General features: G+C 47.6%; 2 protein-coding genes and 1 long non-coding RNA gene across 9 annotated transcripts in view, besides 10 other annotated features; 1 reads left to right on the top strand and 2 right to left on the bottom strand.

Annotated features, from left to right (window-relative positions):
- The window catches only part of CASC3 (CASC3 exon junction complex subunit), a 31,635-nt gene extending 26,168 nt beyond the window's left edge, over window positions 1–5,467 (bottom strand). For 3 of the 4 annotated variants that reach the window (NM_007359.5, XM_005257163.3, XM_047435623.1), the window contains exons 1-3: window positions 5,225–5,467; window positions 4,770–4,797; window positions 4,397–4,434 (exon numbers count right to left, since the gene is read on the bottom strand). In NM_007359.5, coding sequence (NP_031385.2) covers window positions 4,397–4,434; window positions 4,770–4,797; window positions 5,225–5,455 — 297 coding nt within the window. In that variant the 5' untranslated portion in view covers window positions 5,456–5,467. Of the gene's footprint in view, window positions 1–3,903; window positions 3,951–4,396; window positions 4,435–4,769; window positions 4,798–5,224 lie in introns of all 4 variants that reach the window. The other variant, XM_047435624.1, reaches the window with a different exon arrangement.
- Window positions 4,916–5,856: an enhancer, noted in NCBI's record as "NANOG-H3K27ac-H3K4me1 hESC enhancer chr17:38296401-38297341 (GRCh37/hg19 assembly coordinates)". NCBI's record gives its function as "activates a minimal SCP1, AML or CMV promoter by ChIP-STARR-seq in primed H9 embryonic stem cells {active_cell/tissue: H9 hESC(primed)}" and the evidence as "EXISTENCE:reporter gene assay evidence [ECO:0000049][PMID:30033119]".
- Window positions 5,151–5,450: an enhancer, noted in NCBI's record as "active region_12131". NCBI's record gives its function as "activates an Ori minimal core promoter by ATAC-STARR-seq in GM12878 lymphoblastoid cells {active_cell/tissue: GM12878}" and the evidence as "EXISTENCE:reporter gene assay evidence [ECO:0000049][PMID:35858748]".
- Window positions 9,087–24,033, bottom strand: MSL1 (MSL complex subunit 1). 4 transcript variants are annotated; one of them, NM_001012241.2, is made up of 10 exons: window positions 23,244–24,033; window positions 22,624–22,719; window positions 19,598–19,821; window positions 16,377–16,759; window positions 14,420–14,467; window positions 13,906–13,970; window positions 12,895–12,962; window positions 12,346–12,470; window positions 12,105–12,177; window positions 9,087–11,725 (listed from the first exon to the last, which is right to left on the bottom strand). In NM_001012241.2, the coding sequence occupies exons 3-10, from the start codon at window positions 19,798–19,800 to the stop codon at window positions 11,635–11,637; spliced, it is 1,056 nt and encodes a 351-aa protein (NP_001012241.1). In that variant the 5' UTR covers window positions 19,801–19,821; window positions 22,624–22,719; window positions 23,244–24,033; the 3' UTR covers window positions 9,087–11,634. The 4 variants fall into 4 exon arrangements, with proteins under 4 accessions (NP_001012241.1, NP_001352848.1, NP_001352849.1 ...); NM_001365919.1 differs by having other exon boundaries at window positions 22,624–24,033; NM_001365920.1 differs by lacking the exon at window positions 14,420–14,467 and having other exon boundaries at window positions 22,624–24,033.
- Window positions 22,554–23,192: an enhancer, noted in NCBI's record as "H3K27ac hESC enhancer chr17:38279065-38279703 (GRCh37/hg19 assembly coordinates)". NCBI's record gives its function as "activates a minimal SCP1, AML or CMV promoter by ChIP-STARR-seq in primed H9 embryonic stem cells {active_cell/tissue: H9 hESC(primed)}" and the evidence as "EXISTENCE:reporter gene assay evidence [ECO:0000049][PMID:30033119]".
- Window positions 22,554–23,342: a biological region, named in NCBI's record as "H3K27ac hESC enhancer GRCh37_chr17:38279065-38279703".
- Window positions 22,893–23,342: a silencer, noted in NCBI's record as "silent region_8481". NCBI's record gives its function as "represses an Ori minimal core promoter by ATAC-STARR-seq in GM12878 lymphoblastoid cells {active_cell/tissue: GM12878}" and the evidence as "EXISTENCE:reporter gene assay evidence [ECO:0000049][PMID:35858748]".
- Window positions 23,393–23,442: a silencer, noted in NCBI's record as "silent region_8480". NCBI's record gives its function as "represses an Ori minimal core promoter by ATAC-STARR-seq in GM12878 lymphoblastoid cells {active_cell/tissue: GM12878}" and the evidence as "EXISTENCE:reporter gene assay evidence [ECO:0000049][PMID:35858748]".
- Window positions 23,543–23,682: a silencer, noted in NCBI's record as "silent region_8479". NCBI's record gives its function as "represses an Ori minimal core promoter by ATAC-STARR-seq in GM12878 lymphoblastoid cells {active_cell/tissue: GM12878}" and the evidence as "EXISTENCE:reporter gene assay evidence [ECO:0000049][PMID:35858748]".
- Window positions 23,743–23,952: a silencer, noted in NCBI's record as "silent region_8478". NCBI's record gives its function as "represses an Ori minimal core promoter by ATAC-STARR-seq in GM12878 lymphoblastoid cells {active_cell/tissue: GM12878}" and the evidence as "EXISTENCE:reporter gene assay evidence [ECO:0000049][PMID:35858748]".
- Window positions 23,993–24,192: a silencer, noted in NCBI's record as "silent region_8477". NCBI's record gives its function as "represses an Ori minimal core promoter by ATAC-STARR-seq in GM12878 lymphoblastoid cells {active_cell/tissue: GM12878}" and the evidence as "EXISTENCE:reporter gene assay evidence [ECO:0000049][PMID:35858748]".
- LOC124904001 (uncharacterized) lies at window positions 24,164–25,475 on the top strand. Its single transcript, XR_007065752.1, has 2 exons — window positions 24,164–24,220; window positions 24,591–25,475. It is a non-coding gene; the product is annotated as an uncharacterized LOC124904001 (long non-coding RNA).
- Window positions 24,423–24,582: a silencer, noted in NCBI's record as "silent region_8476". NCBI's record gives its function as "represses an Ori minimal core promoter by ATAC-STARR-seq in GM12878 lymphoblastoid cells {active_cell/tissue: GM12878}" and the evidence as "EXISTENCE:reporter gene assay evidence [ECO:0000049][PMID:35858748]".
- Window positions 25,476–26,881: the final 1,406 nt, after the last annotated feature.

The raw sequence follows: 26,881 nt of genomic DNA, 5'->3' as shown, positions 1-26,881 counted from the left end.
GAGAATGGCTAATTGGATTTTCTGATGCAAGTGTTCTCTGGATCTGAAAAACACATCTTTAAAATTTAAATCAGACAAAGCATAGTGGCTCATGCTTGTAATCCCAGCACTTTGAAAAACCAAGACCGGCAGATCACTTGAGGTCAGGAGTTCGAGACCAGCCTTGCCAACATGGTGAAACCCCATCTCTACTAAAAATTAAAAAAACAAACAAACAAAAAACAGTAAATAAAAATTTTTAAAAAATGAATAAATAAATCCAATCGCATCACTTTTTTTTTTTGACACAGGGTCTTGCTCTGTTGCCCAGGCTGGAGTACAGTGATACAATCTTGATTCACTGCAACCTTCACTTCCCAGGCTCAAGCAATCCTCCCACCTCACCAATTAGTGGCCCCTGCTCACCAATTTGTCTTTATTTCTAATACCTATCCTGTCCCAACAATGCTCCAGTCACACCTAATTACTCCCAAGTTCCCAAACGCTCTCTATCTTCTCTATCTGGGCTTTTTCTCTTTTTAAAAAAATTTTGGGCCAGGCGCAGTAGCTCACGCCTGTAATCCCAGCACTTTGGGAGGCCGAGGTGGGTGGATCACGACGTCAAGAGATGGAGACCATCCTGGCCAACATGGTGGAACCCCGTCTCTACTAAAAATACAAAAATTAGCTGAGCGTGGTGGTGCACACCTGTAGTCCCAGCTACTCGGGAGGCTGAGGCAGGAGAAATCACTTGAACCAGGCGGGGCGGAGGCTGCAGTGAGCCGAGATTGCACCACCGCACTCCAGCCTGGCAACGGAATGAGACTCCGTCTTAAAAAACAAAACAAAACAAAACAAAAAAAATGGGGGGCACGGTGGCTCATGCCTGTAATCCCAGCACCTTGGGAGGCCGAGGTGGGTGGGTCACCTGAGGTCAGGAGTTCGAGACCAGCTTGACCAACATGGTGAAACCCCATCTCTACTAAAAACACAAAAATTAGGCGGGCGTGGTGGCATGCGCCTATAATCCCAGCTACTCGGGAGGCTGAGGCAGGAGAATCGCTTGAACCCAGGAGGCAGAGGTTGCAGTGAGCTGAGATCGAGCCATTGCACTCCAGCCTGGGTAACAGAGCAATACTCCATCTCAATAAAAAAAAAAAAAACTTAATTTTTTTTTTTTTTTGGCTGGGTATGGTGGCTCATGCTTGTAATCTCAGCACTTCAGGAGGTCAAGGCAGGAGGACTGGTTGAACCCAGCAGTTTGAGGTTGCAGTGAGCTGTGACCCCACAACTGCACTCCAGCCTGGGTGACTGGGCAACAGAGTGAGACCCTGCCTCTTTTTTAAAAAAAAAAAAAAAAAAAAAAGAGGGCTGGGCACAGTGGCTCACACCCGTAATCCACCTGTAATCCCGGTACTTTGGGAAGCTGAGGCGGACGGATCACCTGAGTTCACGAGTTCATGACCAGCCTGGCCAACATGGTAAAACCCCGTCTCTACTACAAATACAAAAATTAGCTGGGTGTGGTGGTGTGCACCTGTAATCCCAGCTACTTGGGAAGCTGAGACAGGAGAATCGCTTGAACCCGGGAGGTGGAGGTTGCAGCGAGCTAAGATCATGCCACTGCACTCTTGCCTGGGTTACAGAGCAAGACTCCATCTCAAGCAAAAAAAAAAAAAGAAAAAGAAAGTTTTTAATTTTTGTTGAGTACACAGTAGGTATATATTTATGTAGTACATGAGTTTTGTTTTTGTTTTTGTTTTTTGAGACAGAGTTTCCCTCTTGTTGCCCAGGATGAAGTGCAATGGCACAATCTTGGCTCACTGCAACCTCCACCTCCTGGGTTCAAGTGATTCTCCTGCCTCAGCCTCCTGAGTCGCTGGGATTACAGGCACCTGCCACCACGCCTACTTAATTTTTCTTATTTTCAGTAGAGACTGAAAATGGGTTTCGCCATGTTGGCCAGGCTAGTCTCGAACTCCTGACCGCAGGTGATTCACCCGCCTCGGCCTCCCAAAGTGCTGGGATTACAGGTGTGAGCCACCAAGCCCGGCCCATGAGATATTTTTATATAGATATACAATGTGTAATAATCATGTAAGGGTAAATGGGGTATGGATCGCCTCAAGCATTTATCCTTTGTTACAAACAATTCAATTACGTTCTTTTATTAATATATATATATACTTTTTTTTTGAGATGGAGTCTTGCCCTGTCACCAGGCTGGAGTGCAGTGGCTTGATTTCGGCTCACTGCAACCTCTGCCTCCCGGATTCAAGCGATTCTCCTGCCTCAGCCTCCTGAGTAGCTGGGACTACAGGGGCGTGCAAGCACGCCCAGCTAATTTTTGTATTTTTAGTAGAGACGAGATTTCACCATGTTGGCCAGGATGGTCTCAATCTCTTGACCTTGTTATCCACCCACCTCAGCCTCCCGAAGTGCTGGGATTACAGGCATGAGCCACTGTGCCCAGCCAATAGTTATTTTTAAATGTACAATAAGTTACTGGTTGACTGTAGTCACCATGTTGCAAATATGAAATTCTAGATCTTAGTCATTTTTATTTTTTAAATTTTCTGAGACAAGAGTCTTGCTCTGTTGCCCAGGCTGGAGTACAGTGGTGTGATTATGGCTCACTGCCACCTCCACCTCCCAGGCTCAAGGGATTCTCCTGCCTCAGCCACTTGAGTAGCTGGAATTACAGGCATGCGGGACCATGAGCTGCTAATTTTTGTATTTTTAGTAGAGATGGAGTTTTGCCATGTTGGCCAGGCTGGTCTTGACCTCCTAGCCTCAAGTGACTGGCCCACCTTGGCCTCCCACAGTGCTGGGATTACAGGTGTGAGCCATCGCGCTGGGTTTAGATCTTATTCATTCTAATTACTATTCTTTTTGTACCCCTACAGCCTTTCTTTTATTTATTTATTTTTTTTTTTTTGAGACAGAGTCTCACTCTGTCACCCAGGTAGCAGTGCAGTGGCATGATTTCAGCTCACTGCCACCTCCATCTCCTGGGATCAAACGATTTTCGTGTCTCAGCCTCCCAAGTAGCTGCGATTACAGGCATGCATCACCACACCAAGCTAATTTTTGTATTTTTTAGTAGAGATGGGTTTTTTTTTTTGAGACGGAGTCTTGCTCTGTCACCCAGGCTGGAGTGCAGTGGCACAATCTCAGCTCACTGCAAGCTCCGCCTCCCGGATTCACACCATTTTCCTGCCTCAGCCTCCCGAGTAGCTGGGACTACAGGCGCCCGCCACCACGCCCAGCTAATTTATTATTATTTTTTTTTGTATTTTTAGTAGGGACGGGGTTTCACCATGTTAGCCAGGACGGTTTCGATCTCCTGACCTCGTGATCCGCCCGCCTGGGCCTCACAAAGTGCTGGGATTATAGGCGTGAGCCACCGCGCCGGGCCAGAGATGGAGTTTCACCATTTTGGCCACGTTGGTCTCAAACTCCTGGCCTCAAGTGATCCGTCTGCCTCAGCCTTCCAAAGTGCTGGGATTACAGGCGTGAGCCACTGCTCCCGGCCCCTGTGGGCTTTCTTGACTGTTGTTCTCTCTGCCTAGAACACATCTTACCCAGCCAACTGTTTAATCTTTCCCGACTGCCTAAGATGGATTCAGTACCCAGCTGTAACACCCTACTTAGCCCTATCCCAGTGCTATCCCCTATCAGCAAGTGGTACAATTGCTTGAATGTTTGTCTGACTTCCTTATTGAGTTGTAAGATCTCTAAAGATAGGAATTTTGTTATAGTGTTCACTATTCCATCCTCAAGGGCTTAACAGATTCTAAAATGTAGTAACAGTTCTAAAAATGTATAGACAAAATCTTTGATCCACCATCCAATTCCCCCTATATATAATCCCATTACCAGAACTCAGGAGTCCACTCAACAACCCAGGAAACAAACACTTACTCTGATGGCATCTCTAGTAGTTTATCCAAAAGACAGGAAACTTTCTCCTAAAAACAGAAAAATCCCCACCTATAAAATGATGGATGCTCTTGGCACAAAACATTCCGAATCCTACCCTTTCAAAGTCTTCAGATAGATTTGGAAAAAAATAACCAATTGGCTGGCTTCTCAACCTACACTGCATAAAACAAACTGTCAAACATCTTTCAGAGGACTTCAAGATATCCTCACTCTCTTATTTAGAACCTCATATTCTTCAGACAGGAAGAGAAGCCAACTAACAGTATAACACCTGTGGCTTGAGACGGCGTGCCCCAAGTTTTCCCTAGGTCTAAAGTGAACAAGACCTTCTGTAACACTTTTTCAGAAGCATAAATGAAGAATACACAAGAGGATAAACACGGAGGTCATGGTACGTTTGCAACGAAGGTGTGTACACGTTTTTAAAAAGCATTTCTGATCTATACCATAGGAAAAAACCTGTCATACTCACTTCCGAGTCTTCTGCACTTTCATAATCCGAGAGAACAGCTGAAATAAAACAGAAATATGTGGAAAAAAAGAAACCCAGAAACATTTTTTGGCTGCTTATTACAGGTCAGACTAAGAGTCTCATTTAATTCTGACATCAACCTACAACGTGGATAAAATTATAGTCCCCACTTACAAAAGGAGAAACAGGCTCAGAGGGTAACTTGCTGAAGACTATACTGCTAAAGCCTATGCTCTTAACCACTATGTTACAAAAAGGCACTCTGTGGCCCTAAATCCGTGACAGTGTGTGAGAATGTCGATGTTGGAAATAGATGACCTGAGTTTATGTTAAAAAAAACTCTTGTCCTAATGGGGTAAAAGATGCTACTCACCATCACCTTCAATGCCATCTTCACTCTCCTGAAAGAAAGCAGAAGACATGGGTTAGTTCTGTGATTTCCAGAGGTGGGGAGCCCAATAAAGAAATGTGGGTGAAAAGCTGAAGATTCAGCACAAAATGGTTGGAGAGGGAGACAGAGATAGGTAAATCTTTATCAAGTAGTAGCCAAGGCAGGTCTGGTCTCCTTCCCTCCAGCCCCGACTTCTGAATAAAACATCCGCTTTCCATCTCCAGCGGCTCTACCATCCTCCCAGAAACCCCCAATCCTTCTTCTTCCCTTGGAACTCCGGATGCAAACTCGCATTGGGATAACTCCCCTTTTCTCTCAAAAACAAAAAAAAGTCCCAGTATCTACTATCAACTCACAGACTACCTAGCATCACCTACACCCCGCCCCCGGCCGGCTCGCCGCCCGGTCCCCACCCCGCCCCGCCTGCGCGCACTCACACACTCCGACTCCTCAGCACTCTTGGCGCCCCCGCTCTCCACCCGCCGCAGATGAAGGGCCCCGGTTCGGCCTCCGCGCTGTGAAGGCAGAGAGCCGCTGCCGCCGCCTCCGGCGCTACCGCTGCAGCTCCCGCCTCCCCGCAACGGGGAGCCGCCGCTGTCGGAGCCCGAAGCACCAGATTCCTCGTCCTCGGTGTCTTGCGAAGCGCGCTGCCGCCGCCGGTCCGCCATCTTACGGAGAACGGCCACCACCGGCGAGGTACTTACGCACCGCGCCCGTCGCAGAGGCTGCTGGGAGGCTGGATAGCTAGTCCCGGCGTGCTACGCGTGCGGCGCTCGGCCATCCCGCTGTGTGTGTGTGTGTGTGTGTGTGTGTGTGTGTGTGTGTGTGTGTGTGTGTGTGTGTTGGGGTGTGTGTGTGTGTGTTGGGGTGTGTGTGTGTGTGTGTGTGTGTGTGTGTGTTGGGGGAGGGGCGGGGCACTGGGCGGGGCCTAGGCCTGCGGCACGTTTGCGGCCGACCCGGATTACGTCTATCGGTGATGTAAGGGGGCGTGGCGCGGCTCCTGACTTCCCTTGGGCAGGCCTAGGGCGAGGGGAATTGAGACTTCAGCAGCCTCCCGGGTTCCTGGCCCGGCCATCTTGGGCTTCCCGAGTGGAAGGAGTCAACCTGTCACAGCTTCACTGCAACACTAGGGCTGTTTCATGGTTTTCTGTTTCCATTTCTCACTTCTACCTACGTTTGAAGCAGGTCAATTTACTGCATTCCTTTGCTTGGTAAAATCACGAATCAAGGTAAATCTTAAAAGCTGTAGTGCTGCGTCAGATTTGCTGCACCAGCCTTGTTTAAGATAACGGGCGAAGGAGAAACCAGTTGTCTGCAGTGAAGCCAGAGGACTTCTTGTTGCAGCGTTTTCTCTGTGTTCTCATTTCCTCTTCACGTTTCTTCCCACCCCAGCCATCACCTGTCCCAAAGTGCAGGCTGGTATGATGCCAGTATTACCGGTTTTGTTTTGGCTTTTTCGAGGCAGGGTCTCACTCTGTTGCCCAGGCTGGAGTGCAGTAGCGCGGCTCACTGCAGCCTTGACCTCCCAGGCACAGGTGACCTCCTTGCCTTAGCTTCCTTAGTAGTTGGGACAACGGGCACACACTACCACACCCGGCTAATTTTTCTGTTTTTTGTAGAGATGGGGTCTCGCTCTTGCCCAGGCTTGTCTCCTGGCTGGGATCAAGCGATCCTTTCGTCTCAGCCTCCCAAAGTGCTGGGACTACAGGCATGAGCTACTGCCCTTGTCAGGATTTTAGAACCTATTTAAAAATAAATGGTCAGTAGAAACAGATGTTGATTCAAAATCCTGACATTATTTCCTTCTTAAGGTTTATGGAAATTATTTCATTTTGGCAAGGCATTGGCCACCATTGAAAAGAATCAGTGTGTTTTCTTTGGACCATTATAAGGATATACAAAGTGCATGAGCTAAGTTTTTAGTGCACCTACAGGAGTGCACGTTAATAATGTATGTTATCAAACAAAGGCCACCATGGCATAGAATTCTTCCCTGAGTAAAATATTTTTTTTTTTTTTGAGAGGGAGTCTCACTCTGTCTGTCGCCCAGGCTGGGGTGCAGTGGGGTGATCTCGGCCCACTGAAAGCTCCGTCTCCCGGGTTCACGCCATTCTCCTGCCTCAGCCTCCCGAGTAGCTGGGACTACAGGTGTCTGCCGCCAGGCCCGACTAACTTTTTATGTTTTTAGTAGAGATGAGGTTTCACCGTGTTAGCCAGGATGGTCTCGATCTCCTGACCTCGTGATCCGCCGTTCTTGGCCTCCCAAAGTGCTGGGATTACAGGCGTGAGCCACCGCGCCCGGCCTTTCCTGAGTAAAATTTTTATAAATGACATGGTTAAGGATCCTGATGTTTATCAAATTTATAGATAACATGAAACTGGAAGTAATTATGAATGCCTTCAGAGATGAAAGGAAAATTCAAGGCCGGGCGCGGTGGCTCACGCCTGTAATCCTAGCACTTTGGGAGGCCGAGGCGGGCAGATCACGAGGTCAGGAGATCAAGACCATCCTGGCTAACACGGTGAAACCCCGTCTCTACTAAAAATAAAAAAAAATAGACGGGCGTGGTGGCAGGCGCCTGTAGTCCCAGCTATTCGGGAGGCTGAGGCAGAATGGCGTGAACCCGGTAGGCGGAGCTTGCAGTGAGCCGAGATCGCGCCACTGCACTCCAGCCTGGGAGACAAAGAGATTCTGTTTCAAAAAAAAGAAAAAAAGAAAATTCAAACAATCTCAGCTAATTAGACAAGTGGCCAAACGTGACAACTTATAAGTCCAGCTCCAAAAGCCAACTGCCTGAGTTCAAAATGGAGGATAATATGATTTAATAAGTGTTAAAGAAAAAGAACCTGGAGGATCTTATCGATCACAGACTAAATTGGTGCAAATAAGGCTGCCAAGTTTAGTGTCTAAATAAGGAAAGTGATAGTCTGCCACTTTGTCCTTCAGTTGTTTAGTCTGGGTCCAGTTTTTTTTTTTTTTTTTGAGGGGGACGGAGTCTCGCTCTGTCGCCCAGGCTGGAGTGGAGTGGTGCGATCTGGGCTCACTGCAACCTCCGCCTTTCAGGTTCAAGCGATTCTCCTGCCTCAGCCTCCTGTGTAGCTGGGATTACAGGCGCGCACCACCACGCCCAGCTAATTTTTGTATTTTTAGTAGAGACGGGGTTTCACCATGTTGGTCAGGCTGCTCTTGAACTCCTGACCTCGTGATCCACCCGCCTTGGCCTCCCAAAGTGCTGGGATTACAGGCCTGAGCCACCGCGCCGGGCCTGGAGCCCACAGCAATCTTTAACTAGGGACTATGAAGAAAGGAGGGATTGGTCTTTTTTTCATCATCCTAGAAGGCAAAGCAAAAACCAGTGAGTTTAAGTTACAAGAAGTTAGATTTTTTGTCAACAAGCAAGAATTTTCAAACACTTAGGGGGAAAAATGTATGTAGAAAAAGTGTTGAAGCACAGCCTGGAATTTGCTTGTCTGGAGTGTTATCAAGGGTAAATCACATATCGGGGTCACACTAGATGACCTCTAATGTCTTTCCAGCTATAAGATTTTGTTAACTTACGAAGTATCCTATAATCTCGTTTCTAAAATTGCTAATTATACTTTTTTTTTTTTGGAGTTGGAGTCTCCCTCTATCACCCAGGCTGGAGTGCAATGGCATGATCTCGGCTCACTGCAACCTCTGCCTCCTGGGTTCAAGCAATTCTCCTGCCTCAGCCTCCCGAGTAGCTGGGATTACAGGTGCCTGTCACCAAGCCTGGCTAATTTATTTTATTTTTAGTAGAGACAGGGTTTCACCGTGTTGGCCAAGCTGGTTTCGAACTTCTGACCTCAGGTGATCTACCCACCTCAGTCTCCCAAAGTGGCTGGGATTACAAATGTGAGCCAACACGCCCGACCCTTTTTTTTTGTTGGGGGTGGGTGGGATGGAGTCTCGCTGTCACCCAGGCTGAAGTGCAGCAGCTTGATCTTGGCTTACCACAACTTCCACTTCCCAGGTTCAAGAGATTTTCCTGCCTCAGCCTCCCAAGTAACTGGGATAACAGGTGCATGCCACCACATCTGGATAATTTTTGTATTTTTAGTAGATGGGGTTTTACCATGTTTTACTGTGTTGGCCAGGCTGGTCTTGAACCTCTGACCACAAGTGATCTGCCCACCTCAGCCACCAAAGTGCTGGGATCACAGGTGTGAGCCACTGCGCCCAGCCAAGTTGCTGATTATACTTAAGGAAGTACACTGGACAAAGAGGGATGAAACATACATTATACTTATACACAAATGGAAGTGAGTACCTTATTATAAAGGGGAAAATAATGTGTTATTCTTTTTTATTGAGAAAATGGATTTCTTTTTCCAATGTTTCAAATATACAAGCAGAATTGTTTGTTTGCCAATAAATATAATAAATTGAAGCAGAAGTTCAAAAATTAACAGCCACAATAGTTTATTTACAATTGAACTCTTTATAAGATATTTACAAGACAACCAATTTTACACATCAGAAATGGTATCAAAAGTTATGAATTACAACACAGACAACAATATGAAATGGGCATAAAACAAAGCTGAAGTAGACAGACAAGCAATTTTTTTTAATTTATTAACACTAGCTTAAACTTTGTTAAAGAAAAACAAACAACTATGTTTTAGGAGAACTGCAGGGCCTTCAGTTGAAGATTGAATTCACAGTGTTGTATCCCATGTAGGGAAAAATAAGACTAATTTTCCCCCCACACTCTAACACACTGTAATTTTGCACTTGGAACTTTGCTAATCTACTGTCCAACCTCCTTCTCAACAAAGTCAAATCAAAGGAGAATTAACCTAGAAGAGGGGACAATAAAATAAGAGGTCCTCAGGGAGAGGGAGAACCAAGGAAATAGAATCTACTTAAATCTGGCCAGATAGCACCTCGTGGATTCTTCTCAGTCTACTTCAAGTCAGAAACTGGGGAGTCCCCTGGGTAGGGCACAAACACAATGGTTAAATTTGCTAACTCATACCCAAAATTAGGAACCCGACACATGCTGAAATCAAGAAGAAACTGAGGGATCAAAGAACAAAGTCAAGAGACACTGATTGGGTCTTTTTTCTTTTTGGACACGTTACGAAGAAATATCACATAGGTAAGAGTAAGAAAACTGAACAGCCTGCCACATTAAAATGATGGAGAACAAAGAAAATCTGGCCCAGTTTTTCTAGAAATCTCCTCCTTAAGGTGTGAGATGAGAGCCCCTAGTGGAATTAAGTCCTATTTCTCTCTACATCCTTGCTGCAATGAAGTTTACAGCAGGTTCCCTTATAGAGAGCCCACTCTCCTAAGCAGATGGAGTTACAAATGAAAACCCATAGCCACACACACACACACACACACACAAAAGGAGAAATAAGAGCAGCAAGATCATCCAAGAATACTACATGTGCTGCCAGAATAATTCCTTTAAAAGTCAAATCCAGGAAGCACAGATCAACATCTCACAAAAAACTTTAGCAGTGGGAGGCCCCTGAGGAACTTTTCTTCTCTTCCCACAATGGTATCCCATTCTCTCTTCGTGCTCCACTGATGGGCCAGCCACACACCCTACATACCTTGGCTTCTCCTCTAAAAGTGCTAATAATCTGGGGACATATTCTCTTTAAGGATAAAAGCCCCTACCTTCTAGGAGATTAGACCCCTACTTGTTTTCACACAATAGTCCTGAAGACTAAAGAAAGGCAATTCCTATATATTTGAGACCAGAGGTCTTGGCTCTATTTTCCTTTCAGATAGTTAATAGGGATCTTACACTGAGACCAAAGTGGCCTGGGAGTGCTATCCTGATATTTTAACAAAACGGGAGGGGAGAGGACCAAGATGGTACACATACAAATTATTTTTACAAAGTGAATGGAGAAGCTCATTAGGTACATCTGTTTGTTTCAAGATGTAGACATTTGCCAGCCAAAGGAAGCACCTATTTCCACACTCTCCCCCTACCCTCCCTAAGTCTCTATCCCACCACCAAGAGTTCTGCTAAAAGGATGAAGCCCAATGAAGGAATACTTGAGAAGTGATGTGATACAAGGACATTTATACAGGTTTTGGCATGCCATCCCAAATACTAAGTGCTTTTGTTTACAGCTGTAACTTGTTCTGAAACTAACCATCCCCACTTTCTTTTCCAAAGATTTTGGTTTTTGAGCAGTAAAGAAATTGTTATCCATTAACTGAAAAAATAATCACAGCCAAACATCCCTTCCCACATGACTGTATCACAGAATAGTTTCAAATGAACAACTATCTTTTCAGACAGTTATCTACCAACTCTCCGATGTCTTTTCTACTCTGTGAAGATGGCTTGCTTCATCGCTTCACTTGTCATTCCTCTTCTGGTCCTAAAGCTCATGGTGAGGTTGTTTGTTTTATTTTAGGGTTAAAAATCACTATACCCACTATAAGGAGGGTGTACCAGGGTGAGAAGAGTGCCATGCAGGCACAGCTCTAAAGGAAGGGGCTGCTTCATCTTCCACATGTCTAATGAAGAGAGCCCTTTTACCCCTTTAACATAGGCAAATGTATAGAAACAGACCCCTGAAACTTCTGAATCTGCCATCCTATAGCTTTAGCTTGAGAGCCCATTTCCCAAAAAAGGGAAAAGAAATCCCAATCACCCTCCATAACTCACAATTAGCCGAATGAAAGAGTTTTTGTGAAATCAGAGTAATGAAAACAAAGTCAAGGAAGTATGAAAGGGTATTATCAGCGAGTGATAACATATGTGAGGACAAAGGTCACATATACAGGTCTCTGCCACTCTCGGGAATGGCATGCTACAACTATCTGAAGACAGGGTTCTTGCCAGCACAGCTATTTCCTACACGTCCGGTGAGGTGTTTGCTTCTTCTGGATCTCCAATCTGCATCGGCTACGCTCATCCAACCAGGGTAGCTCAAAATTCCTGGCAAAAAAGGATGAGGAAATCAACTTGCAAGACTAGAAGGGATTCAGTGTGGACATGATAGCAACTACAAAAAAGTCACTATGTCCCTTACCACTCCTATCCCTGACTAGTTTGGAGTGTCTTTCCTGCCTCAAAGCCAGAGCAACTGTGTACCATTAAAGTGATGGAATCATCTATTTCTAACTCAAAAAGCAATACTCCTAATTATTGGCTTGGGAATCTTATTACAAAAGCTAGTTGCCCAGGTAGCCTCATTTCTGTCAAAGACCCATGGCTATCCCTAAGCCACCTGGTTCCACCTCATATCTAGGCTTCCATGAAGTCTGAAAAGGATGTGCAGGTTACCTGGAAGGGGAGAAAAAAAATGTATACTTACTGTGGAGTTAATTTTGGTAATGGTCGTCCAAATGCTACAACAGGCAAGAAGGGGGTAATCATCAAACTTTCAACTATGGGAGAAAGTCAAACGGGAGCGTATTAGTAATACAGATGGGAAATGTCTAGAAGCTATATCTGCTCCAAAATACACTTCATTCATTCAGAGCAAGTTGTACCCTGGAGCCTTGCACCCTCCTCCTTCTTTCAAAAACCTACTCTTTTAGATGGACACAACTTACCATCATCTGGCTCAGGGAAAAATGAGGTAACCTCAGGCTCAGATTCCTGAATTCCTTTCTTTTTATACATTCTGAGCTGCAGTCGCTGTAAAATTCTTTGTTCCCTGATCCTCTGAATATCCCATCTGGGAAAAACAAACCAAACAAAACAAAGAAACCCAACATTACTGTTTACCCAAAACCTGCTCTATAAAAGCAACTCACACAATCCAGATGCTAGGAAGACCCTTGCTGACTCCTCTAGACAGGGTAAAGAGAAATGACTGCCTTGTTAAGGGAGAGCTGTTTAGGTCTACCGTTTAGATCATGTGTTGGTGTTCCACAGAAAGTAGAATTGAGGAAGGTCATACACAAAAAGAGGCCAAACATGTTTACCGCAACAACTACCATTTCCAACTAAGATATTCAACCAACTGGGAAGCCAGTAATGTAAGAGTGTTAAGCACTCCAAGATTCTCCACAGCATGAAAAAGGGAGGTCAGGTTCCCTGATACTCTGTCCTAGGTCCTAGGGCTCAGTTGTTTCCAGGATGGACATCTCTGGCCTCACCTTTTCCTTCTCTTCTCATCCAGCTCCAGTTTTGCATGCCGCTTCGAAAACACACTGTCATCCAGGTTCTGTGTAAAGAAAAGCAGCTGATAAGCTATTTATCACCATATATTAGTTACACACATATACTAACTAATTTCCAGCTTCCAGGAACGTAAAATCTTTCACCTTCCGGTTCTACCTGAGTCTGTGGGTTCCATGGACAGTATGGGAACCTCCTGGTAACAGAATCAACAAAACACATACTCCTTTCCCCATCCACATCCTTTTAGAATCTCCAAATTTCAAAATCATTTCCATATCTTTCCAAGGTAAACATCACATCAAACTAAAACCCCCAGACTGTCATAAACCCTCCCTGCCTCCATACTTTGTAAGAGTCTGACTTTAAAATAATCAAAACTTTAAGAGTCAAATGAGCTTGGAATATGTAATTTTATGGTTGAGGGGTACATGCTTTTTTTTGTGTGTGTGTGATGGAGTCACTCCGTCACCCAGGCTGGAGTGCAGTGGTGCGATCTTGGCTCACTGCAACCTCTGCCTCCTGGGTTCAAGCAATTCTCCCTGTCTCAGCCTCCCGAGTAGCTGGGATTACAGGTGTGCGCCACCACGCCCGGCTAATTTTTGTATTTTTAGTGGAGATGGGGTTTCACCACATTGGCCAGGCTGATCTCTGACTCCTGACCTCAGGTGATCCACCTGTCTCAGCCTCCCAAAGTGCTGGGATTATAGGCGTAAGCCACCACACCCAGCCCTAACTTTTCTACTTAGCATAAAATCTACCTTTGTTTTGAACATTACCTAGCTATTTATTTTTTAATAAATCACTTAACTACTCTAGACCTGTTTTTTAATCTATAAAATGAAGGAGCTGGACTAGATAATTTCTCAAGTTTCTGTCTGGCCTTAAAATTATTTAATTCATCCATAGTACTATGACATTTTCCAGTTATACCCTCACATTCTATTTAATCTCTTACTCTCTTCAATTGAGTGCTCTTGGTTACCTACCTCCAAAAGGTCTGAAGGATTTGGGTCCCTTAGAGGCTCTACTGAGTGGTCCCTCCAAGAAGGAACTGAAAAAAAAGAGAGAGAAAAAGAAAGGGAGGAGGGGTGGAACCACCCTTAAATCCAAAGTTGCACAACTATTCACTAGGATAAGAGGTCTCTCCCCAGAAGAGACAAAGTTACCAAGTGATAGGAATCCATTCTATGGCCTCCCTGAAGCCATATTCAGTGTCCTTGCTATGGTATAAAAGAACCTAAAATGCCATTGCAGTCTGCCAAACTCAGGATCACAAAAACCCTAAACCAATACCTGACAATTCATATAATGATGCTATAGCAGTTCCTGAAAAACAACTGAAATTTGTTGTCATTTTGAAGTCTATAGTAGTGTAATCAATCATACACCAAGAAATCTCAGTCTCCCACATCCAGTGGATGGGGAATGCAGCTCCCAACCATCCACCATCCCACCAACCCCCACCCCAGGCCCAGCCAGCACAATTCCTATTCTACTCACCAGCCAAGACTGAAGTTTCTCCTGCAACACTTGATGGCATCAGACACCCTAAATAATGCAGGAAAGAAGAATAATCTCAGTGTAAAAAGAAAAAAAGCCCATACCCCAAATGGAGGAAAGGATCATCACTGAAGTTCTCACTAGGAAGCCATTTTGTTTTTTGAGTTGTTCTTTTGAGAATTTCTCTCTGGGGGAGGGGAAGAGGGAACAACAGACAAAAGAAAAGAAAATAAGCCCACCACTTTTTTTTTTTACACTGAGACGACTTCTTTTCTTCATTATTTAGGGTGGTTTCCCTGCAACAGTTGATGGCCAAGGATATCAAACCTTAAACTCAGAACATGGCAGGTGAGTAAAAGTTGACCCTATTTTTCAAATAAAAGATCAGTGTTCTCAAAACTTACATATGTAGTCTTCTTAAACAGCTCCCTCCTCCCTCCAAACAAACTACCTTGCTGGTCCAGCCTGAACAACATGCACAAAGACTTTGGCTCCCCTAGAACAAGCCATTGAGCCTTCCTCTTGAGATAGGGGCATCAAGAATAAGGATTCACATGTTTATTCACAACTCAGGCTCCTCAAGGGGCTGGGATCTCCCCAATTAGACTCCTTTGTTTCACTATGCCCACAATCTCAGAGGTGTTTGAAATTGTCTGTACTAGGGAAGAAAGGATTTTCAAAAATAGCCAGTCACACAGAACAGCTCTGGACCAAGCCATTACCCAATCCCGGATGGGAAGTTGCTTCACGTTTCTCTTAAGTTGTTACGCAGCATTGCCATGGCAGCAAAAGAGGTTAACCATTAAGGAAGAACCTGTTCAACTGACTGAACCAACAAAAATCTGAACCTAGATCAGGATCCTGATCTATCTCATGTACTCAAGTGTGAGGCCTAATAGAGGTTAGATCATTAAGACGACTAATCTAGCTTTCCCACTTAATTTTGTCACCAGAACAGCCAAACAAAGCCTGGAGAACGCTCTTGTCTCACTGGAATGGATTTCTATCCCCATCCTGCTAGGCAAGACACAGTGGTAGAAACTTGGGACTGCGGCTCTATCCTAGAAGGCCTCCCCAACCATTACCCCAGAGTAACCGCAGTGACTGACATAGACTAATATTACATGATTGAAGGCACATTCCAGTTACTGGTTGATGTAGAAGATAGGGGAGCATCTCTGTGTGGAAGCCATAAAGAAAAAAAAAAGGGAATGAAGACCAAGGTCCCACACCCCACACCCTCCCCAAGCAGCTCAGATATCCCAAGATAGTCCTTATTGTTTGAAAAATAGTTTGTAGACCATTTTATTTAAATATATGAACAACCAATGGGCTACTGCAATCCAAGTAAACTCTTCACATTTTAGAACCTTTGTGAAGTATAGTAAGATAAAGTAAGACTGTTGGTCTTTGGCAGATTCCTCCTGCCCCCCAGACAGGGACATAGATATACAGATAAATGTTTATATAGTTAAAGAGCGGAGGCCCAGGTGAAAATTCCCCACCCCAAGCTGGCTCCCCAACCCAAAAATTACCATTGGCCCCTGAGAACACCCAAAGACCACCCTCCCAGATTTCACACAATATCAATTGCAGGAACAGTCGTGCATGGCAAAGTATAGTTCTATGCATTTCACAGCACAGAAAACCCTTCTTTCAGAGGGCATGCAAGTTGCCGGAGATTACACCCCCAAGTCTGGTGCTCTTGTGATGAGCAACTTACTGGCAAACACATCTCCCAGTGTTGTAAGCAGGCAAATACATTGAGCACATTTTGCTGTAATTCCATCTATTTGCAATGCCTGCACAGTGTCTGTCTCTGGCTGTTAACTTACTCATTCTTGACAGAACTCTGCTTTATTGATTGCACTTTTTTAAAAATGCCAAAGGCATTTTCACACTTGTTAGCTTGACCGCCACCACTAGGGTATAAGAGCAAGTGTTCTCTATGCCTTACTTGCTACAGTCTCCTCCTTCTTTGGAGAGGATTCCCGTAATGGTAACGGTGATGGGGGAGGCTGGTGCCAACGACACAAATACATTTCTGTGGTGGAAAGGTACGGCAAATCTTCTATCTCACTTGAGAAGGCTTTCTCCTTGGGATGGGTGCTGGGTCCCTTTTGGGGAGTGGAGAGTCTTGGTGGGGTGTCCACTGAAGACCGGGGCTTTTCTGGGGTTTCTTGGCTCCTCAATTCACGTTTACAAACAGTTTCAGATAAGGAACCACAGGGTTCCTCTTTAATAGGAGAGTGCTTAGGAGTTTTTGTTTTGACTTTTGAAAATTCAGGAGCCAGCTTTTTAACAGGAGTCTTTCTTTCTGTACTTCCAAATGGGGATTTCCTATTAGATAGGGAAGAAAACATTATAAAATTTATTGACACTTGAATAAAATCTAATTTGAACACATTCTGGAGCAAAAGAATAAGCTGGTTCTTTTGCCCCAAAATGACAAGTATTCAGGTACCTAAATGTCTGGTGCTCATTTAGCAGTCATGAGCAGGAACAGCCCAGGCTTAGCAGTATATAAAATAGGCCCATAGTAAATTTTTTGTTTTGTTTTGTTTTGTTTTTGAGACAGAGTCTTGCTCTGTCACCCAAGCTGGAGTGCAGTGGCATGATCTCGGCTCACTGCAATCTCTGCCTCCCGGGTTCAAGCAATTCTCCTATCTCAGCCTCCTGAGTAGCTGGGATTACAGGCATACACCACCATGCCTGGTTAATTTTTTTTGTATTTTTAATAAAGGCAGGGTTTCACCATATTGGTCAGACTGGTCTCAAATACCTGACCTCAGGTGATCCACCCACCTAGGCCTCCCAAAGTGCTGGGATTACCGGCATGAGCCACTGCACCTGGCCAGTAAATGTTGAACAAGGAATTTCCATGCTTAAGAATATTCAAGGTCCACCAGGCGCAGTGGCTCACGCCTGTAATCCCAGCACTTTGGAAGGCCAATGCAGGCGGATCACTTGAGGTCAGGAGTTCGAGACCAGCCTGGTCAATATGGTGAAACCCCGTCTCTACTAAAAAAAAAAAATACAAAAATTAGTCAGGCGTGGTGGCACATGCCTGTAATCCTAGCTACTTGAGAGGCTGAGGCAGGAGAATCGCTTGACCCTGGGAGGCAGAGGTTGCAGTGAGCTGAGATCACGCCACTGCACTCCAGCCTGGGCGACAGAGTGAGACTCTGTCTCAGAAAAAAAAAAAAAAAAAAAAAGAATATTCAAGGTCCTTTAGCCAACATTATGTACCACTACAACCCACATTAGGTGCACCTACTTCTTGTAATCCAGAGATCAGTCTCTTTCCTTTTCCCCCAACCCTGTACCACATTAATTGTAACCTTTATTTCCTTTTTCTTACTGTCTGCTGGCATTCTCTAGCCTCTTTCTTCTTCCCTTCTTCCCCCACCACATCCCAAGAAAGTCATCTCCCTTCCTCTTTACCAACCTAAATTTTAATACTTTTTTGGAGTCTCACTCTGTCACCCAGAGTGGAGTGCAGTGGTGCGATCTCTGCTTACTGCAACCTCCACCTCCTGGGTTCAAGCAATTCTCCTGCCTCAGCCTCCCAAGTAGCTGGGACTACAGGTGTATGCACCACACCCGGCTAATTTTTCTATTTTTAGTAGAGACAGGGTTTCACCGTGTTAGCCAGGATGGTCTCGATCTCCTGACCTCGTGATCCACCCGCCTCGGCCTCCCAAAGTGCTGGGATTACAGGCGTGAGCCACCGCACCCGGCTATACTTCTTTTTCAAGACTGATTTCTACTTAAAGTTTCACAATTCTAACCCAGAATAACTTTTAATATCCCTGAATCTTACAAAACTTAGTTTAATGTCTGTAATCCCAGCACTTCGGGAGGATCACTTGAGCCCAGGAGTTTGAGATCAGCCTGGGAAACAAAGTGAGAGCCTGTCTCTACAAAAACTAAAAAAAGTTAGCCAAGCATGGTGAGTGCCTATGGTCCTAGCTACATGGGAGGCTGAAGTAGGAGGATCACTTGAGTCCAAGAGGTGGAAGATGAAGTGAGCCATGTTGGCGACACTTGCACCCCAGCCTGGGTGACAGAGAGAGACCCTATCTCAAACAAACAAAAAGCCTTAGTTTATATCAGGTGTTGTACATCTACGTATTTTACTGCATTTGAATTCTGAGTTTTCAAAATGTATGCCTATCCTTACAGTTGGGCTAATTTCTTTGAGTCCAAGGACAGTTCCATTTTTACCTTTTTTTTTTTTTTTTTCAATTGAGACAGGGTATCACTCCGTCACCCAGGCTGGAGTGCAGTGGTGCAGTAACAGCTCACTGTAGCCTCAACCTCCTGAGTAGCTGGGACTACAGGTGCATACCTCCAGGCCCGGCTAATTTTTGGATTTTTTGTAAAAATGAGGTCTCACTATGTTGCCCAGGCTGGTCTCAAACTCCTGGGCGCAAGCGATCCCTCCTTCCCCACTTTCCATACGTTCCATACTCCTTCCCCACCTTGCCCTCTCAAAGGGATTACAGGCATGAGCCACCACGCCTGGCCTGTATTTTACTTTTCTATGTCTACCAATGCACGACACAATGAAGGAATTTAACACTTCCTAACTTGAAGTGAACTGCTATAGTTTTAAGAAACTCAGCTGTCATACTTATTGCCCATTCTCTTTATGATGTAAGCTGCATTCAATAATTATTACTGTGACCAAAATACTCCTAAACAGACTTTTACAGTCTGCATAAGAATGTTTCAAGATAGTTTCTCAGCATAGAAGACTTCTTTTTTTTTTTTTTTTGACGGAGTCTCGCTCTGTTGCCAGGCTGGAGTGCAGTGGAGCAATCCCGGCTCACTGCAACCTCCGCCTCCCGGGTTCAAGTGATTCTCCTGCCTCAGCCTCCCGAGTAGCTGGGACTACAGGCGCCCGCCATCACGCCCGGCTAATTTTTTATATTTTTAGTAGAGACGGGGTTTCAAAATGTTGGCCAGGATGGTCTCTATCTCTTGACCTCATGATCCACCCGCCTTGGCCTCCCAAAGTGCTGGGATTACAGGTGTGAGCCACCACACCCGGCCCTCCGCATAGAAGACTTCTAAAGCAAGTTATGATTGCTATAAAACCAATTCATAAATCCCAATCTCCTACTCTCAATCACTGGTAACAAGGGTCCTCATCAAACAAAGTTATCAGCACACCTTTTATGTCCCTTTCCACTCCGCCCACATGAGAAGGGCTTGGGAGGCAGAGTCTGGGATGTCTCGGAAAGCTCCGGCTGGCACTCCAGTTTAATTTTCTCAGATAGCTCTGTTTCCTCTCTCTCTTCAGTTTCATAGCCCTGAAACAGCTTGTGCCTTTCTTTCTCGTTATCCTTCTTTACCAGCTGCATCCGCCTTTCCATACGTTCAATCCGAGCAAGGAGCTAAAAGAGAGAGTAGCAAAATGCAGACTTAACACATAAAAAATTAAACACACAGATACTTAGCCCCATTTAGGAATCAGTATAGTCTTCTGCCTCTTTCTATGGACCACATCAACTCAACTTTTTAAATAGGCAGACATTAATCTGAACAGTTTTCCTTAAACAAAATAGAGAAGAGAAGGTATACTGTTAAATTTTAAGGGCTAACCTAGATGGGAAGAGGCATGGGGTAATTTGTAGTTCATTCTTCTGTAGGGAGATCCTCTCCACTGGGAAGGGCCGTAACATGCCTTTTAATGGCATGGTCTCTGCTACTGCTACCTGTGTGGCTCCAAGTTGGTTCGGGAGTTTCCAGAATTAATTGTATACATGTTTTGTTTGTTTGTTTTTGTTTTTGTTTTGAGACGGAGTTTTGCTCTTGTTGCCCAGGCTGGATTGCAATGGCTCACTGCAACCTCCGCCTCCCTGCCTCAGCCTCCCGAGTAGCTGGTATTTCAGGCGCCCGCCACCACACCGGGTAATTTTTGTATTTTTAGTAGAGACAGGGTTTCACCATGTTGGCCAGGATGGTCTCTATCTCTTGACCTCGTGGTCCACCTGCGTAGGCCTCCCAAAGTGCTGGGATTACAGGCGTGAGCCACCGCGCCCAGCCTACATGATCTTTTAAGAGGCCCTGAGATTGTCCAAATTCTATCCTCTCTACTTCTACTCCAAAGCTCTATACACAACAGCAAAGTGCAAACAGTACATTGAGAAGGAATTAAGAGCTCATACAGTGCCACCAGGAATGGCAGTGTTATTTGAAAGGGGTATGTGTGGGAGGGGGTACTTTTAAAACAATGAACATTTCATTTGGAAAATAGAAATCAGTACCCATAATTCCAACAATCATGACATAAACACATTCCTTTGAATTTGAGGTAACACAAAAAATTATACCTATTCATCTAAATATTTATTAAAATCAAAGTTCCTTTAGTTTTAGTTAAAAGGAAGGACTAAAAAACTAAACAGAAAATGGAACTCTATTAGTATTGAAAACTTTGTGTTAGTTTAGTTTTGAGAAAAGGTGTTGTGCTACTTATACTCTATTACAAGAATTTTATCTGGGTTAGACAGTGATGTTTAACGCTGCCTTCATTACATTCATTGCATAGATTTCAGACAAGGCCAAACAACAACTGGAATAAGTGAAACAAGCTTAAGCAATATTAAGATTGCAATACACAACAGAAGCAGTGAGTACCAAGTTCAGACTGACACTCTATCCTTAACTCACCCCACTTTTCCTGACTAGGAAAGCCTGCAAAGGGGCCATTACCTCAGGAACTGAGCAGAAACCTCCACAATCAGCAGAGAACCCCCCTATCAGCCATACTCTCATTTCATCTCCTTGTATATGTTTTGATTCACAGCCCTTAACCACCATTTGTGGGTGACATTTCCTTGATTTTTTTCTCCTTCACTGGTCCTTCTCTTCCCACTCCCCCCATACAAGGATATGATGTGTTGTAATTACGGTACCATCACACCCCTAGACTGCAGTACAGTCTGAGCAGTGCCACCTCCATGTTGAGTAACTTCCACAAATCAACACCATGAGATATTTTAATGAGACCTGCCCCAGCTCCCAATCCACCTTGCAGAATGCATTCTCCAATAAAACAGCCACCCGATGAGATTCATTTGGAAAGCAAACAAAATGAATAGCCGCTTGCTCCCTTGCTCAGCTCTTAGCGCACACGACGCCAGAGAGAAAGAGGAGAGAGGGAGAGATGAGGACGGCGGGGAGGGAGGGAGAGAGAGAGAGAGAGAAAGGGAAAGAGACAGGGAGGGAGGAAGAGGGAGGGAGAGAGGGAGAGAGAGACTGCTGCAGCCTGAACACAACAATTGTAGAAACCATGTTTATTTTTAGGCAGCTGTAAGGTATGCTAGCACAGTAATACCCCCCACCCCAGCTTCCCTCATATCTGAAGGAATATGTTTTAACGCAGAGATGCCCTTAACTACTGCTGCAGTAAAAACAAGCCTGTGTCGTCCAAGCTCCTCAGAAGTAAAGAAATAATAAACGACTTTCCTACTCCCTAAGATTCTAAAATAAGGATGGGGAGGTCTATTTAATACATTTAATAAGCTTACTTTCCCCTGATGCCCTAAAATCTTCCAGTTTCAAACACCATGCTTATAAAAGGGACCTGGTCAGTGGGTCATGTATTAGAACTCAGGTTCCTATTAAAAGCTGTCTGAAATCAAAGGCAGTGATTCTCTTAATATCATTTAAGAAAACTAAAATAGGATTCCACGTAAATCACCTCTACCCCTGTGCCCACTAAAAGGCCTACTGCCCTCCTATCTAAAGATGCTGCAGCAGTGGTGAAAGCAACAGCTGCTTGCTACAGCCCTCTCCTCCACCGTGCATTTCTAACGCAATAGCTCTTTAATTTAACCCTTCCATAAGGACACAACACCTACACCCCACCCTTTCATTTTTAACCCCTCACAGATCACGTCTTTTTCCACTAAACGTCTTTCCCACACGTCTGGGGCTGTCATTTTAAATTAACCCTTTGGCACCTGAAACCCCTCCCCCTCCCCCTGAGAGGTTGCCCTTTAACCCTTCCCTCCAACCCAACGTGTCTGTGAGCCTGGCTCCCAGAGACCCAGCGCCTAAGATACTCCTTTGCCGGTGGCCAACCTCCTTTACCCCTAACCCGGGGGTGCCTTAACCTCCTACAGCCCCCTTCCCCCGAGCATGCGCACAACTCGCTCCTCGGCCCGAATGCAGATTAACCCCTCCCGTACCGTGTCTCTCTCTGACTTCAGCTCCTCGATCTCCTTTTCCTTGGCCTGCAGCTGCTGCTGCTGCTGTTCGATGAGGTCCAATTGCAGCAGAAGGATCTGTTTGAGGCAGGCGGCCTGACTGGAGGCTCCCGAGCCGCCACCACCCCCGAGAGGGCTCTTCCTCATACTCTTCCATCTGCCCTCGCTGGCCGCCAGGGTCCCGGCGGTGGCGGTGGGCGCGAGGGGTGGCGGCCCGGGCAGAGGTAGTGGTGGGGGTCCCGCCGGGTCCGAGGCGGTGGCAGCGGGGGAGGCCGCCCCACCCTTGTCCCCAGCCCAGGGCGTAGGCTCTTTGGCCGCCGCCACGAGAGAGCCCGTCTGAATGGGCAGCACCGCCTGATACTTGGGCCGGGGGCTGCAGCCGGCTCCGGCTGCGGCAGGCTCCCCCCCAATGCCGGCTTGCTTGGTGGCCGGGGGCGGACAGGGCAAGGGCACCGAACCGCCCCAGCTCTCTTCCTGCTGCCCGGGGGCCGCCCCGGCCGGGAGTAACAAGCCCCGGCCCTTGCCGCCGCAGCCGGCCGGGGAAGGCGCGGGGCTCCCGCCCTGGGAGGAGGCCAGCGGGGGCCCCGGCTCCTTGAGCTTACGGTGCCGGGGGAGGAAGTGGGCTTCGGCCGCCCCAGGCTCGTCCTCGGGCCCGCCCAGCGCCGCAGCCCGCTCGTAGTCCAGTCGCTGCTCAGGATTGCCGCCGGCAGGGGCCGCGGCCGCCTTGAACACCGCGGATCTCATGGTCATAGTGGTCCGGAGCAGCGCCGGGCACCGAGGCGGAGGAGGGGGTGGGGAAGGGGCGAGGTGCGGGGGGTCGAGGACTGAGGGGGGGGAGGGGAGTTTGGCGGGCTCGCCTCAGCAGCGCGGCAGCAGGCCTCCGCTAGCGCGGCTCCTCCGGGGCCCGGGCGCCATCCCGCCGGCGTGCGGAGACGTGGAGGCCGCGGCTGAGGCCCGCCGCCGGCCCATGGGGGCCTCGCCGCCGCCTCTGCTGCCGCCGCCGCCGCCTTCGCCTCAGAGGCAGGAGCTCGCACCCAGCCGCCCCCGAGCTCATCCCCGGAGCTCGCTTCGGCCCCCCCTGGCCCGGCCGGGCCCGCCTCGTCTCCCCACCCCGCACCCCCCCTTCCCCGCCCCGGCCCCCCGCCCCGGAGCTCGCCTCAACCGCCCCGAGCCTCCATTTCCCCCCCCTCCTCCTCAGGAGGGGGTGGAGGGCTGGGTCCGCCCAAAGCCCTCCTACTCCGGGAGAGGGGGTCTGTCGCCTCTCCCGGGGGTCTCCGCGGCTCGGGGTCCCCCTCCCCCACAGTCACCCCCGGCGCCTCAGCGTTTCCCTTTAAAAAAACGGAGCCGCTCGTAGCCGCCACCGCCGCAGCCGCCGCCAACCGGAGGACGCATGCGCGGGGAGGGGAGCGGGCGGGAGTGCACCGGGAGCCGAGAGGAGGGAGGCGGGCCGCGCTATTGTGAAAGGGGCCGCCGCCGCCTCGAGGGGGGCAGGGAGGGGACCGCGGGGGCCGGGGGCCGGCGAGGGGAGGCCGGGGCTGAGGGGCGAGGACCGAGGAGCGCGCGGAGGAGCGGGGTGAAGGTGGGCTGCCGAGGGAGGGGCGAGCCGGGGGAGGGTCTGGAGGGGGAAGAAGGGCGAGGGCGGCCGCGGGAAGAAGGGGAAAGCGGAGGCTCCCCGGGAAAAAAGCGCGAGAGAATGGAGTTGAGAGGAAAGAAGGAGGATACAGGCGGCCAATGTGTGGCCTACGTGGGAGCGCCCCGAGCGCTCCACGTCCCCGGCCTGCGCCGGGCGGCCCCTTCCCCGGGCATCTTGGCAACGCGCCTGGCCCAAGCCGGAGGGGCCCCGCGGCCCCGCACGCCTCCTGGACCAGTCAGGATCCAGGCTCCTCTTTGAGCCCGCGGGTGTTTCATGGGGGTAGAAGTCTAACCCCTCCACCCCCTCTCCTCCCCAGCAGTCCCACGCGGGTATGGGAGAGAATGAAGTTCTTTGTCTCTAAGGGATTCAAACCAGAAACGGAGGGACCTCTGGTTCCCAGAGGGAGGAAAATCCATGATGTCTGCTGCCCAGGGAGCTATTGCCACCGCCTCCTTGGGATGAAGTATTGCCAGCTACCAACAGTTCCTTCCCAACGGCCATCTTCCAGCCTTCTTAAACGACTCCTAGCATCTTCGGGAGGCTCCTGAAGGACTGAAGCAAAGGAAATCTCTGAAGGGATTTAGTCCTTGAAAGGGAGTAGGGATACTTAGGGTGTTCTGTGTTGAGCGCTTCTTCCTATCTCTCCAGCTTCATGTATGTGTGTCTTTATGTCCAAGCAATTGAGCCAACAAGTCCTCAGAATTCCTTGTGAAAAAAACGTTTTTTTTTTTTGAGACGGATTCTCACTCTGTCGCCCAGGCTGGAGTGCAATGGTGAAATTCAGCTCACTGCAACCTCCGCCTCCGGGGTTCAAGCGATTCTCCTGCCTCAGCCTCCCGAGTAGCTGGGATTACAGTCACGCGCCACCACGCCCAGCTAATTTTGTATTTTTAGTAGAGACAGGATTTCTCCTTGGTCAGGCTGGTCTGGAACTCCCGACTTCAGGTGATCCGCCCGCCTCGGCCTCCCAAAGTGGTGGGATTACAGGTGTGAGCCACCGTGCCCAGCCCTGAAATAGTCTTAATTGCTTGTTTTTCTTTTTTGTCTGAGGTGTGCTTTTTAAAATCTCTATGGAGATGGAGAAGACTGACATTCTCTGGCCTGATGTGAAAACCTCTCATTAAAACTGTGTCTGTGCTTTGTGGGCTGAAAGCATGAAACACTGGAAATTTTAAACAAACGTATGTGAATGTGTTAAGAAGCCAAGAGTCCGGCCCTCTTTCACCAGACTGTATGGCCTCAGATCAGCAAGGGAAGTATTGAGCTTAGGGACACCAAGTAATGGAGTGAGCAGGGATGAGAGGGCACATAGAATGTGGTGATCTCTTTCCATGTCAAGGCTTGTGTGTTTGTGGCACTGGGGTCTTGCTGTGTCCCCAAGGCTAGAGTACAGTGGCACAATTATGGTTCACTGCAGCCTCAACCTCCAGGGCTCAAGTGATCCTCCCACCTCAGTCTCCTAAGTAGCTGGGACAACAGGCTTGGGCTGCCACACCTGGCTAACTTTTTATTTTTTTGTAGAGACGGGCCTTTGTAATACCAGCCTTTGTTGCCCAGGCTGGTATTGAACTCGCTCAAGCGATCCTCCCACCTGGGCGTCCCAAAGTGCTGGGATTATAGGAGTGAGCCACTGTGCCCAGCCTTCAGCGTCAAGACTTTCTGCACCATCTCTACGCTGACAGCTCCGTAATTTATATTTCTTTCTGGACTCATCCCCTAACTCCAGAATCATATATCCAACTGTCTAGTATACATACCCAGTTGGATGTCTAATAGGTATTTCTTTTTTTTGAGGTGGAGTCTTGCTCTGTTGCCCAGGCTGGAGTGCTGGAGTGCAGTGGCACGATCTCGGCTCACTGCGAGCTCCTCCCGGGTTCACGCCATTCTGCCTCAGCCTCCCCAGTAGCTGGGACTACAGGCGCCTGCCACTACGCCTGGCTAATTTTTTGTATTTTTTAGTAGAGACGTGGTTTCACTGTGTTAGTCAGGATGGTCTCATCTCCTGACCTCGTGATCTGCCCGCCTCGGCCTCCCAGAGTGCTGGGATTACAGGTGTGAACCACCGCGCCCGGCCTAGGTATTTCAAACTTACATCTAAAAATCAAGCTCCCGAATTCCTCCCACCCAAACACCCAAATACCACTTCTACAGTCTTACTCTTTTTTTTTTTTTTTTTTGAGACGGAGTCTTGCTCTGTTGCCCAGGCTGGAGTGCAGTGGCACAATCTCAGCCCACTGCAACCTCTCCACCTCCCGGGTTCAAGCGATTCTCCTGCCTCAGCCTCCAGAGTAGCTGGGATTACAGGCATGCACCACCATGCCCAGCTAATTTTTGTATTTTTAGTAGAGACGGGGTTTCACCATGTTGGTCAGGCTGGTCTCAAACTCCTGACCTCATGATCCGCTCACCTCAGCCACCCAAAGCTGGGATTACAGGCGTAAGCCACCGCGCCCAGCCCAGTCTTCCTCTCTTTGTCACCCCATTGCCTTTCAAAATGTATGTCCAAGGCTGGACGTCGTGGCTCGTGCCTGTTACCCCAGCACTCTGGGAGGCCGAGGTGGGCGGATCACAAGGTCAGGAGATCGAGACCATCCTGGCTAACATGGC

This window comes from Homo sapiens, chromosome 17 (assembly GCF_000001405.40).
Source record: "Homo sapiens chromosome 17, GRCh38.p14 Primary Assembly".
In the NCBI taxonomy this organism is placed as follows: domain Eukaryota; kingdom Metazoa; phylum Chordata; class Mammalia; order Primates; family Hominidae; genus Homo; species Homo sapiens.
This window is presented reverse-complemented; position numbering and strand designations above follow the sequence as displayed.

What these genes read in the sequence shown, in the direction of transcription:
- MSL1 (NM_001365919.1), bottom strand. Translation starts at nt 23,391, where the DNA reads ATGACCATGAGATCCGCGGTGTTCAAGGCGGCCGCGGCCCCTGCCGGC. An exon ending in GAAGGAGGAGACTGTAGCAA is followed by an intron (nt 14,468 to 16,376) that starts GTAAGGCATAGA and finishes TGCATTATTTAG; the next exon opens with GGTGTCTGATGCCATCAAGT. An exon ending in AGAAACTTCAGTCTTGGCTG is followed by an intron (nt 13,971 to 14,419) that starts GTGAGTAGAATA and finishes CTTTTTTTTCAG; the next exon opens with TTCCTTCTTGGAGGGACCAC.